Source organism: Homo sapiens, chromosome X (assembly GCF_000001405.40).
Source record: "Homo sapiens chromosome X, GRCh38.p14 Primary Assembly".
Taxonomy (NCBI): Eukaryota; Metazoa; Chordata; class Mammalia; order Primates; family Hominidae; genus Homo; species Homo sapiens.
This window is the reverse complement of record NC_000023.11, coordinates 37,348,693-37,362,406: the sequence shown is the minus strand read 5'-3', so window position 1 is coordinate 37,362,406 and position 13,714 is coordinate 37,348,693. Positions and strand designations below refer to the sequence as shown.

The 13,714-nt window shown below is 38.9% G+C and overlaps 1 protein-coding gene across 5 annotated transcripts in view, besides 2 other annotated features; it reads right to left on the bottom strand.

Annotated features, from left to right (window-relative positions):
* Window positions 1–13,043, bottom strand: part of PRRG1 (proline rich and Gla domain 1) — a 107,928-nt gene extending 94,885 nt beyond the window's left edge. For 3 of the 5 annotated variants that reach the window (NM_000950.3, NM_001142395.2, NM_001173486.2), the window contains exon 1: window positions 13,012–13,043. The gene's annotated coding sequence lies outside the window, so the exon portion shown is untranslated. Of the gene's footprint in view, window positions 1–12,937 lie in introns of all 5 variants that reach the window. The other 2 variants (NM_001173489.2, NM_001173490.2) reach the window with 1 other exon arrangement.
* Window positions 12,225–12,735: an enhancer, noted in NCBI's record as "H3K27ac hESC enhancer chrX:37208925-37209435 (GRCh37/hg19 assembly coordinates)". NCBI's record gives its function as "activates a minimal SCP1, AML or CMV promoter by ChIP-STARR-seq in primed H9 embryonic stem cells {active_cell/tissue: H9 hESC(primed)}" and the evidence as "EXISTENCE:reporter gene assay evidence [ECO:0000049][PMID:30033119]".
* Window positions 12,736–13,247: an enhancer, noted in NCBI's record as "H3K27ac hESC enhancer chrX:37208413-37208924 (GRCh37/hg19 assembly coordinates)". NCBI's record gives its function as "activates a minimal SCP1, AML or CMV promoter by ChIP-STARR-seq in primed H9 embryonic stem cells {active_cell/tissue: H9 hESC(primed)}" and the evidence as "EXISTENCE:reporter gene assay evidence [ECO:0000049][PMID:30033119]".

The window sequence follows — 13,714 nt, the reverse complement described above, 5'->3', positions numbered from 1 at the left end:
AGTTAAAAAAAAAAAAATGACTACCATATTAGGAAGGAAATAATGCTAGAACAACAGCAGTAGGAGTGGACTGTTCAAAACTTTGCAAAGGTCAAGTATATAAACCGTGTTAACATTCATAGTTTAGAGAATGAAATATATAAAAAAGTACATATTAATATCTACTATTTGCATTATAAGTTAAAGGAAGTTTAAAATTCAAAGAGCACATGTATTTATTTTATACTATAGTTCATATTTAATGCAACAAAAATATTTGTATTTTTAGACTGTTTATAAACCTAAATAACTAAATTTCTTTTTTTACTTCTATAATTTTTTTGAGAAATCAAAGGAAAAATGACTAAGATACTGAAGCAGGATAAAATTACACAGGAAATTAACTATATCCTTGCCAAAATAATTATTCTGGTCCCATAGGTAATACTAATACAGAAAAAGAAACTTGGAATATATTCTATTCACTTTTTTGCAGCGACAGCAAATTTTAAACCTAGGCTTACGTTTCTGACTTTTCCTGCTTTTTCCCTGAAGCAAACATGTCAGAGAGGATTACTGTGGCAAGTTACTCATATAGATTTTTTTACAAAATTGGAATGCATAATATTAGAAACCAAACCACAAAGAACAAGCACACTGGGGACAGATTGGAGGAGATTCACAGAACATAAAGTGCTTTCAGTAACAAGGCTTTGTCACTGAAAAAGGAGGTGTTTTGTTAACTAGGACTCCAGAAAACAACACACATCTCAGACACAGTTTTGAAAGAAGGGAAGAAATAGACCACAGACAACTTACTCCAACTCAAAGATTAAAATATAACATGTTCTCCCAAAGAAATAATAGGTTACGAATTCTGAGGCACTGAAAAAATGTACCTAAAAGTTCAAATTGTGAAATTGTTATTTTAATTCTAGTGCATTTAATTTGCAAGCCTTTCAAGAAGATAACAAGTGCTATCAAAAACTCATCATCGGTATTTGAATGAGGTTGAAAATAACTATACCAATTATTACCCCACAATAATGGAGAAAGAATAGCAATTATTCAGCTTTTTTTTTTTTTTTGACTGAGTCTCGCTCTGTCGCCCAGGCTGGAGTGCAGTGGCACCATCTCGGCTCACTGCAAGCTCTGCCTCCCGGGTTCACGCCATTCTCTTGCCTCAGCCTCCTGAGTAGCTGGGACTACAGGCTACCACCACCATGCCCGGCTAATTTTCTGTATTTTTAGTAGAGATGCAGTTTCACCATGTTAGCCAGGATGGTCTTGATCTCCTGACCTCGTGATCTGCCGGCCTTGGCCTCCCAAAGTGCTGGGATTACAGGCGTGAGCCACCGCACCCGGCCTTGAGCATTTTTAAGAGCTATGATTACCCCAGCCCTGTGGCACTTTGATTCTCATTTCATTATGCCCAATGACATCTTGAGAAGTAATTATGTCGCTAATTTACAAAAGGTAAAGCTAGCACACACACCCCTTACATACCAAAGGTGTTCAGTAAATGCTGAACTAAGGTTTGACATACAGTTATTTCCTTAGGAGATTCAAAAAGCAACTTGCAATGGCAACATTATTTCTATGGTCCCTCAGGTTTTCAGGATAACCAAATCACTTTGCCATTGTAGGAAAGGTGTTGCAATACAAAGAGGTTGTACCCATGAAGGGGTATAGTGTTATTTGAAGACAATCAGTAAGGAAATGGCTGAACTCAACAGCTTTGATAGTACCATCAATTAACTGGGTATTACTGACATATATAAACTACTTCGTCCAACAACAGAAAATTACACATTTTTCTCAAGCTCATGTGGAATATGCACCAAGACAGATCATATTCTGGGACATAAAACATATCTTAACAAATGTAAAAGAATAGAAATTATGCAATGTCAGCTCTCAGACTACAGTGGAATTAAACTAGAAAACAATTACAGAAGGATAGCTGGAATTCCCCCATATATGTAGAGATTAAACTACATACCTTTAAATAACACATGGATTATTGAAGAAAAAAATCCCAAGAGAAATTAAAAACATATTTTGAACTAAGTGAAAATTAAAATACAACTTGTCACAATTTGTGGGATGCAGCAAAAGTAGTGCTTAGAGGGAAATTTATAGCTTGAATGCATACATTAGAAAAAAAGAAAGATCTGAAATCAATCATCTAAGTTTCCATCCTAGGAAATTAGAAAAAGAAGAGCAAATTAAACCTGAAGTAAATAGGAGAAAAGAAATAATACAATTGAAGCAGAAATCAGTGAAACTGAAAACAGAAAATCAATAGGGAAAAATAAATGAAACCAAAGGCTGGTTTTTTGAAAAGATCAATGAATTCAATAAACTTGCCAGGGTAATTAAGAAAAGAAGAGAGGGGACACAAATTATTATCAGAAATGAAAGAAAGGACATCACTACAGATCCCATGGACATTAAAAGGATAATAAAGGAATATTATGAACAATTTTATCCCCACAAATTTGATAAGCTAGATGAAATGGACCAATTCCTTGAAATGGACCAATTCCTTGAAATGGACCAATTCCTTGAAAGATACAATCTGCCAAAATTCACACAAGAAATAGACAATGTGAATAGGACTATACTAAAGAAATTGAAACAATAATAACCTGCAAAACAGAAAGCACCACACCCAGATGGGTTTACCGCTGAATTCTACCGAACACTTAAGGAATAAACTATACCAGTTCTCTACAATTTCTCCTGAAGTTAGAAGCCAAGGCAATACTATGAGGTCAGAATTACCCTAAAACCAAAACCAGACAAAGACATTACTAGAAAAGAAAACTACAGACCAATATCTACCATAAACACAGATTGAAAAATCCTCAACAAAATATTATCAATTGTATCCACCAACCATATATAAAAAAATTATACGCTATGATCAAGTGAGATGTATGACAAGTATGCAAGGCTGGTTCAATATTCGAAAACCAATTAATGTACTCCAGAACATCAACAGGCCAAAAGGGAAAATTTACACAATGATATCCATATATTCAGAAAAAGCACTTAACAAAATCCAACACTGATTCATGATTTAAAAAAAAAAAAACTCTCAGCAAACTAGGAATAGATGGGAACTCACTCAAATGGAAAAAGGCATCTATAAAAACACTACAGTTGACATCATACTTAATGGTGCAAGACTTGAAGCATTCCCTCTAAGCTCAGAAAAAAGGCAAGGATGTCCCCTCTCACCACTCCTTTTCAAAATCATACTGAAAATCCCATCTTATGTGATAAGACAAGGAAAGGAAACAAAAGGTATACCAATTGGGAAGGAAGAAATAAAACTGTTTTTGTTCACACATGACATGATTGTCTATGTAGAAAAATTCCAAAGAATTGATTGTTTTAAATAAAATCTCCTGGAACTAATAAGTGATAATAGTAAGGTTACAGGATACAAGGTTAATAAATAAAAGTCAATTCTTTTCCTATATATCAGCGATGAGCAAGATCTCCATTGGGAAAACCACAAAACTCTGGTGAAAAAAATCAAGACTAAATAAATGGAAAGATATCCCATGTTCACGAATAGGAAGACTCGATAGTCTCAAGATATCAGTTCTTTCCAACTTGATCTACGAATTCAGTGCAACCCCAATCAAAATCCCAGCAAGTGATATTGTGAATTTTTTTTTTTAAAAAACAACTGATTCTAAAGTTTATATGGAGAGGCAGCAGATACAGAATAGCCAAGACAATATTGTAGAACACCAAAGTTGGTGGACTGACACTACCTAATTTCAAGAATTACTATTAAACTACAGTAATAAAGACAGTGGCAAAAGAATGGACAAACAGGTAAATGTAACAGAATAGAGAGGTATATCCATATCGTCAACTGATCTTTGACAAAGGAGCAAAGGCAAAACAATGAAGATAGACTTTTCAACAAATGATGCTGGAACAACTGGACATCCACATGAAAAAAAAATGAATCTAGATATGGCCTTACACCCTTCATAAAAATCTCAAAATGGATCATATACCTAAATGTAAAATACAAAACTATAAAACTCCTAGAACATAGGAAAAAATCTACATGACCTCTAATATGGTAATGAGTTTTAGTTATAACACCAAAGGTATGATTCATGAAAGGACTGATAAGCTGGATTTAATATTATAAACTCCTACTCAGCAAAATACACTGTCAAGAATATGAGAAGTCAAGCCACAGACTGTGAGAAAATATTTGCAGAAGACATAACATATAAAGTACTATTATCCAAAATATACAAACAACTCTTAAAACTCAGCAATGAGAAAAAAAAAAACATGATTTGAAAATGGACTAAATATGTGGACACCTCACCAAAGAAGATATACAGATGGATACAGATGACAAATAAACATATGGAAAGCCCAACATCATATGTCATTAGAGAATTGCAAGTTAAAACAACAGTGAGCTGGCACTACACATCTATTAAAATGGCCAGAATACAGAACACTGACAACACCAAATGCTGGCAAGGATGTGGAGCAACAGAAACTCATCCACTGCTGGTGGGAATAAAAGCGGTAAGTTACTTTGGAAGACACTTTGTCAATTTCTTGCAAAACTAAACATAAAGTAGTCCTCCTTGATCCATGGAGAATACATTCCAAGACCCCAAAGGGTGCCTGAAATCTTGGATAGTACCAACTCCTATACATGCTATGGTTTTTTGATCTGACAACCTAGATGGCTACTAAGTGACTAATGGGCGAAAGGCATATACAGCATGGATACTCTGGACAAAGGGATGATTCATGTCTTGGGCAGAATGTGGTAGGATGTTGCGAGATTTCATCATGTCAAAATGGCACAAAATTTAAAACTTACGACATTTATTTCTGGAATTTTCCATTTAATATTTTCAGACCATAGTTGACCTTGGGTAACTGGAAATGTGGAAAGTGAAACCATGGATGGGGAGGGGGACTACTATATTCTCATCCAGCAATTGAGCTCCTTTGTATTCAAATGAATTGAAAATCTATGTCCACATAAAATACTGCACACAGATATTTATAATAGCTTTATTTATAATTACGACAACTTGGAAGCAACCAAGATATTTTTTAGTAGGTGAATGAATAAACTGTGGTACATCCAATGGAGTATTAAGCACTAAAAAGAAATAAGCTATTAAACCATGAAAAAACATGGAGGAAGCTTACATGAACGTTACTAGGTGAAAGAAACCAATATGAAAAAGCCGCATACTTTATAATTCCAACTATATGACATTTTGAAAAAGGAAAAACTATGGAGACAGTAGAAGGATCAGTGGGTTCCAGGGGCTGGAAGGAAGGGCAGTTGAAAAGGCAGAACACAGAGAATTTTTGGGGTAGTGAAACTATATCATATCATAATATTAATACAATAGTAGATATGTTATTATACATTCATCCAAATCCATAAGATGTACAATACCAAGAGTGAGTCCTAATATAAACAATTAGCTTTAGGTGATAATGATATGTCAATGGAGGTTCATGAACAGCAACAAATGTACCACTGTGGTACAGGATGTCCTGATAGTGCAGGAGGTTGTGTATGTGAAGAGGGGGTATATGAGAACTCTCTGTACTTTCCTTGTAATTTTTCCATGAACCTAACACTGCTCTAAAAAACTAAAGTTTTTTAATTTAAAAACAAAGCAAAACAATGACCCCTTCTCTTCCCTTATAATGTTGTGATCCATTCCTAGAGTTTCCTGTTTACCCATACCTATCCCATGAATTCTACCTGGAGTATCAAATAATCATCTCTAACTCAACATGGCCAGTATGTAGTTCTTGATCTCCCCATTCAAAAATTTCTCCTCTTGCAATCTTCCCACCACTCCCACAATCCTTCTTGCTTATCTGACTCTATGCCTTATTATTCACCCCTTCTCATTCATGCTACTCCAGCCGCAAAAACCATTTTGCTATATTTAGCTGAAAGGTCTCAAAAAGAACCCACCTCAAGACTTTTACAACTGCTGTTCCCTGTGCTTAGGAAGCTCTTCCTCCAAATAAATGGTTTTCTTATCTTCTACAAGTCTTTGCTGACAGTGAAGTCTTCCCTGATTACCTCCCTCCAACATGCCCTATTCACCTATAGATGAATACCTGTAGGTCCCCCCATTCACCTTCCCTGCTTTGTATTTCTCCAAAGAATGCAGCACCATGTCACTTAACATATATGTATATTTATGTGTATATGTATAGAAAATTATATATATATTTCTTATATTTTACTCATTTACTTTATTATCTGCCTCCCTCAAATACGATGCAAGCGCCTCAAAGGCGGAAATTTCTAATAAAATATAACTGTTTTATATACTGTTGTATCCTCAGTGTTTAGAAGGATGCCTGGCCATTGACAGTCATACAAATATTTGTTGAATAACTGAATGAAAATCATATGAAACTTATGATATAGCAGTCTTACGGCAAGGGCTAGGGCAATAACATTACAACACAGCATGTCTAGACTTAATTTCAAAAAATAATTATTCAAACTAAGTTGAAGAAAAATACACTTGTAGCCATTAGTGGTAGCTGGAATAGCTGAAATTATTGATTTATTTGCTAGCATTATTAAACTTGAAAAAATCCATTCCACTTAAGAGTTCAAGACTACTTAAGTTCCACTGAAGAACAGTAGTGTGCAAACAAACCTCCCTTAAAGAGAGTTCTTTCAGCTTCTCCCACTTCCATCTTTAAACTTACTTTTTTCACTCCTTTCTCCTCTCTTTTTATGGTACCTACTAATTCCATTCTCTCCTGCTCTCCTGCTCCAGTACTGTATTCCATCAATTATATGTTCATAACATTACACATTCAATCGCTCCTTGACTCCAGCAGGCTTTTCACCTTTACATATTCCCATTTTCTTGAACTCCAAAAATCTTCAAACTCCAGTCTTTTTCTTCTATTCTCCTTTCACCAGCAATTTACCAATAAAACTATTTTCAGTTCTTCCATATTCTGCCCAACATTGCTGAAGAGATGGTTCTTAACCAGGGAATTTTTTCATGCCTAGATCCCACACCCTGAAATCCAGATTTTATGAGTCAATATTGTGGGGAGGGGCACTAAACTTAAGTGTATTGTTTGAAACAGCTCCCTATGACAGTCTGATGCACACACCAGATTAAGAACCATTACCTCTATGTCTGAGCATGGTGGCTCACGTCTGTAATCTCACCACTTTGGGAGGCTGAGGTGGTAGGATCACTTCAGCCCAGGAGTTTGAGACCAGCCTGGGCAATATAGTGAGACCTCATCTCAAAAAAAAATTTTTAATTTAAAAATTAGCTGGGCATAGTGGCACATACTTGTGGTCCCAGCTACTCAGGAAGCTGAGGTGGGAGGATTGCTTGAGCCCAGGAGGTTGAGGCTTCAGTGAGCCGTGTTTGCGCCACTACACTCTAGTCTGGGCATCAGAAAGGCCCTGTCTCAAAAAACAAACAAACAAACAAAAAAGCCATTACCTCAAATACCTGTGATATGTTCTCCTGGTCACAATAATGATAATATAATACCAACTGAGAAGTATAATTAAACCAACAATCTGCACCTGAAACACACCAAAAACAAACAAAAGAAAACCTTGTGGTCATCAAATCCAAGCATCTTCTGTCAGTCCTATCCTCTCTACATTTTAGAGGACACTCTAAACAGTCTTAAAAGCACTACCGGCCGGGCGTGGTGGCTCACGCCTGTAATCCCAGCACTTTGGGAGGCCGAGGCAGGCGGATCACAAGGTCAGGAGATCGAGACCATCCTGGCTAACACGGTGAAAACCCGTCTCTACTAAAAATACAAAAAAATTAGCCAGGCATGGTGGTAGTCGCCTGTAGTCCCAGCTACTTGGGAGGCTGAGGCAGGAGAATGGCGTGAACCCAGGAGGCAGAGCTTGCAGTGAGCCGAGATCATGCCACTGCACTCCAGCCTGGGCGACAGAGTGAGACTCTGTCCCAATAAAAAAAAAAAATAAAAAAATAAAAATAAAAATAAAAAAAGCACTACCAGCTTAAAGTGCACTCTGTTCTTAATTTTCATAAATTTTTGGTCTTTTGTTCTCCTCTCCCTTCCTCTCCACCAACCTGTCTGAATGCCATACAGTTAAATGCCACTCAATGTTTTCCCAGGGACAGCAGAATCACCATCATTTATGAACTTATTAGAAATGGAAATTCTTAGACTCTATCCTAGACATCACAAACTTTGGGTATGGGGTCCAGAAATCTATGCATCTTGTGATTATTGTACATGCTGAAGTTTCAGAACCACTGTGCTAAGCAACCTGTTGGAAATACATGGGAGTTATCTACAAATACAGAACTGGAGCTCAAACAGGGTGGGAAATATCAATACATCCACATTCTGAAGTTAATTGCTATTGAAATAATGGGAGCTCACAAGAAACAGCAGACATAAATAACAACAGCTAACATTTTAAAAGCACTACTATGTGCTAGACATTATAAGCTGTTAACAGTCATGCATCACTTAACAACTGGGATATGGTCTGAGAAATGCCTTTAGGCGATTTCGTTGTTGTGTCAACATCATAGAATGTACTCACACATACCTGGATGGTATAGCTTACTACACACCTAAGCAATATGGTATACCCTATTATTCCTAGGCTACAATCCTGTACAGCATGTTACTGTACTGAACAGGCAATTGTAACACAATGATGTCTGTGTATCTAAACACAGAAAATGTACAGTAAAAATAGGTATAAAAGATAAAAAATGGTACATCTGTATAGGGCACTTACCATGAATAGAGCCTGCAGGACTGAAAGCTGCTCTGGGTAAGTCAGTGAGTGAGTGGTAAGTGGATATGAAGCCCTATGACATTTACTGTACACTACTGTAGTCTTTATAAATAGTCTCCACTTAGGCTACACCAAATATATAAAAAATGTAATTCTTTCTTCAATAATAAATTAACCTTAGCTTACTATAACTTCTTTACTACATAAACTTTTTAATATTTTAAACTTTTTGACTCTTTTGTAATAATACTGAGCTTAAAACATACACTGGACAGTTGTACAAAAACATTTTCTTTCTTTATATCCTTATTCCATAAGTTTTTATCTATTTAATTTGTTTAACTTTTTAAACATTTTTATTAAAAACTAAGACACAAACATACACATTAGCCTAGACCTACACAGGGTCAGGATCATCAATATCACTCTTCCACTTTCACATCTTGTTCCACTGGAAGGTTTTCAGGGGCAATAACATGGGTGGAGATATCATCCCCTATGATAACAATGCCTTCTTCTTGCCTTCCTGAAGGACCTGTCTGAGGCTGTTTTACAGTTAATTTTAAAAAATATATAAGTAGAAGTATACTCTAAAATAATAATTAAAAAGTATAGTATAGTAAATAAACCATTAGCATAGTTATTTATTATCAAGTGTTATATACTGTAATGCATTGCACTGTGACATTACAAAGGCTACAAAGTCACCAGGTTTTTCAGCTCCATTATAATCTTATGGGAACCACCATCACACATGTTGTCCATAGTTGACCAAAATGTCATTATGCGTCACATCACTATATACCTGATCTTAATTATCAGGTAAGTATTATAATTATCATTTTTACAAGTGAGGAAACTAATGCTCGGAAAGAAAAGTTTAACTTCTTGTCTTGCCTCCAATTTTCGATTTCTCCAGTTTCCATGCCCTTGACTCTTGTGCATACAGTGAGAAAAAGAGTTTTGAACAGAACCCTGAGAAGACTGTGGAGGTGACTGAGGTTAACCGGTCAAAGAATTAGAGAAAAAAAATCAGAAATATGAGAAGGAAGTCTAAGAGGAAAGTTTTAAGAAGGAAGGTATAATCACAATGGTTGGTTTGGAATATTTTTTCAGTCAGTAGGTCCACAGATGATGTAGAACTTTAAAAAAGTTTTATGGATGCTACTACTCTTCCTCCCTGAGTTTTGAGTTTTAGTCAAAAAAAGAGACTAACTTGAAGTGTTTTAGGAACAATGACTAATGCTATTTTTAAAAGTGAAATGAAAAAAAGTGCTTTTGCATTTAGATGAATAAGGGAGAAATGAAAAATAAGGGTTACTAATGCTCATAGTTCTCTGTCTGCTTTGCAGGCACAGAAGGCTAGACTAAGCAGGTAGCCAATTCTGACTTATTTTTAAACTAAAGAACCAATTCCATTCTTTTATAAAGTAAGTGATCATTTGTTCATGGTATTTTCTCAAATACATATATCCATTCAGGAGAAGAAGGCTGGAGGTGAGGAACAGGGGGAAGATAATTCCTGTTAGGAGCCAGAGGTAACTGGAAGGCCAGTGATCCTGGTGGAGTTAAGAGAGATGTCAAAGACAGTTTGGCAGAAATGGTTAGACCAAGCCTATCAGGGAACTGTAACATGAAGAGACCCATTAGCCAAAGGCCGAAAATACTTTAAGATGTAAAAGAAGTATAATACAACTGGTTAGATTACAGCTTTCTTTAGTTACATCACCCTTCAGAGAATACCATCTGGCAACCTGATTCATTTGTAGTACTTCCTAAATTCCAGCAGCAACCTATTTGTGTCTTTCTACAAATAGTTAATTTCACTAGTTTCAGTATCAGAAACTGGCCTTTTTAAAAACTTCACCTTTTTCTGATCCCTATTTTCCCTTTATCTGTAGAGTTTTTGCACCTCTTTTTAGAGGGATAAACTATGACTAATACATGAGAACATATTTCCACACAGTACTTATCCATATTCCAAATAATGCTGCTCAAATATTAAATACAATTTCAGAATTCTGAATTTCTTGTATTATCCCATGAACTTTATGCAATATGAATTACTATCTTTTTTTTCTTTCTTTCTTTCTTTTTTTTTTTTTTGAGACGGAGTCTCGCTCTGTAGCCCAGGCTGGAGTGCAGTGGCGCGATCTCAGCTCAAGGCAAGCTCCGCCTCCCGGGTTCATGCCATTCTCCTGCCTCAGTCTCCCTAGTAGCTGGGACTACAGGCGCCCACCACCACGCCCGGCTAATTTTTTTGTATTTTTAGTAGAGACGGGGTTTCACCATGTTAGCCAGGATGGTCTGGATCTCCTGGCCTTGTGATCCACCTGCCTCAGACTCCCAAAGTGCTGGGATTACAGGAGTAAGCCACTGCACCCGGCCTATGAATTACCATCTTTCTAACAGCATTTATTAATATATATCTGTAAGTTAGTTTATTAGGTGCTTATCACATGCCAGGCAGCTCTAGGTACAAGGGTAACACAAAAGACTGAGGTTCTAGTAGTAATGGAGAAATAAGGCAAGTTATATAAATTTAACAGAAAAGGGTGTGATTAATTCACTCTGGAGAAGATGGCAAAATTTTTCAAGAAGTGAATCAGGCTAAGTCTAGAAAGATGAATAGGAGTTCATCAGGCACTAGAAAAGAGAAAAGGCATCCCTAACACTCCCCGCCCTCCACCTGCCCCAAATTTGGGAAAATAGAAAAAGAAAGAATAACATAACAATAAAACCAGAAGAAATCCTGTTCACCTCATGCCTGGGGTTGGTGCAGGGGTGGGGGTTGGGCGGGGTAATTGTGTTTTTAAGTATACTTCAGATCAGAAAGTAAACGTTTATAAAACGGGATTTACAATCGAGGGAAAGGGGTGGAGAGGAGGAAGTTCAGTTTATTTTGTTGTATTAACTTAAAACAAATGAGTAAAAATATCAACATCTATGCTTGGGAACACATATACTATCTTTCATAAAAGTCCCTAAGTTTGAAAATGAAAGCATATGGAGCTTTATCCAATATTACAATATTTGCCCTAATGTTTTGTATCCTTAATATTATTTTCAAAGGTTCTAAAGTGAGTCGGCCCAAGATCTTGACAGCACATCCACACACATGCCCAATAATCCACTCTTGATTGAAACAATCAACAGTAGCCTAACCAACTTTTCACTTACCCTGGCTTGAACACCTTCGCATCCTTCAAAGTCTGGCTTTATAGTATGACCATCAACAGACAAATAATTAAGCTCTAAGTTTTGTCACTCAACCTCTTCATCCTTTCATTCAATTATTTCCTCTCAAATCCCATTAGTTTCGCTTTTCTCCTAAAGGGACTCGTAGAAAATACTTGCACAGCACAATCACAAAAACCAGTGGCTGGAGCCAGAGTCCAAACGCGCACACACTACTTTCCAGTCATATCCCTCTTGGGGCTGTTCCTACCAGTGATCAAATTCAGCGGACCAGGAAGAAGGAAAAACCTGAAGCAGGAAGACTGTTTCTCTTCCTTTCACTTCCCCCCACGCCGCCTCCCCCTCCCCCCGCTCTCCCATCCCCCAGGGCCGCACCGCGACCGACCTCGCACGCACCCCCTCCCACTGTCACCCGCCACTGCCTACAAAACAGTCATAGCCTTTGTTAAAATGTCCACGGGCACAATGGATCAGAAGAGGGACACATTCCCGGGGGTGGGTAAAGGAAAGTCACACGAACGCCACGCCCTCCTTGGGACTAGCCCGGGCCGACAGCCCACCGCCTCCAAATCCTTTCCCCTCCGACGGGGAATGTTTCTAGCAACTCTGCACCAGAGAAAGCAGCGCTGGAGGAAGGGATGAGCTTGGGACGTCCCTCATGGGCACCAAGCAGGGGACTGAACTTGAAGCTGGGACACCCTCCAGCACCGTTGGCAAGCCTCGCGGTCCTGCCCAGTCTGTGTGCGGACTTCCAGCCTGTAAACCCCATTCCTTCAATTTTTTTTCTCGTCATACCCACCCTCACCCACTCCCGCTACCACGCACTCCGCTCCCCACGCGGCCCTGGCCGGACACCCACAGGCAGCGTCGCTACCAACGCTACCGCATATCTGACGGGTTTCTCCTCGCAGAACCGAAGTCACCCCCACACACCCCAATCCTTCCTGGGGCGCTTCGCCTGGATCACGTTTCCCCAGCTAGGAACCCAGCGCGGCCGCCACACTCACAGCGGGTCCCGCTCCGCTACTCGCCGTTCTGCGAGCCGCACGTCGCGCCTGCGCGCTCCTATTTCTGCCGAGCCTAGCTGGAGCCAGGAACCGGGAGCGGACTGGAAGGGAGGTGGAAAGAGGCGGGGGCTGGGCTGGGGCGGGGTTAAGAGAGAAGGGGCGGGAACAGGGTGGGGCGCGGGGGTGGGAAACGAGGGGCGGATCCTCCACCGCTTCTGCTGGGAAGACCCAGGGCTCAGGGCATCCTGCTGGAGCTTTCCACTATTGGGGTTTATTTATAACACATACAGAAAAGCCGTCGAGGCCCCTCTGTGCACTCCCACACGCACCGTGGAGAAAGCCTGGCTCGGCGCGGGCCCAAGTAGTCAGCCGTTGGGCCGCCACGTCTCTCCTAGCCACCGCGGGTCCCCGCCAGCCTTTTTCTCTTTCGCATACATACCTCACCACACATTATTCCTTTTCCTAGTCATTTCTCCTCATCGCGTACTCTTCAGCCCTGGTGAAGTGAGGGGCATAGGGATTTCTCATCCACAGACCGCCTGTGTAGGGCATCCTAGTTAATATACCTCTTTGCTATGTGTGAGCCCAGATCGTGGTTGGTGACTATTCGACCATTGTCCACTGTTACAGCTCAGAGAATTGCACTTTCCTTGAGGAATAATTCCCTTGCCACTGTTTCCGGACAACTCTTGGTGACAACTAT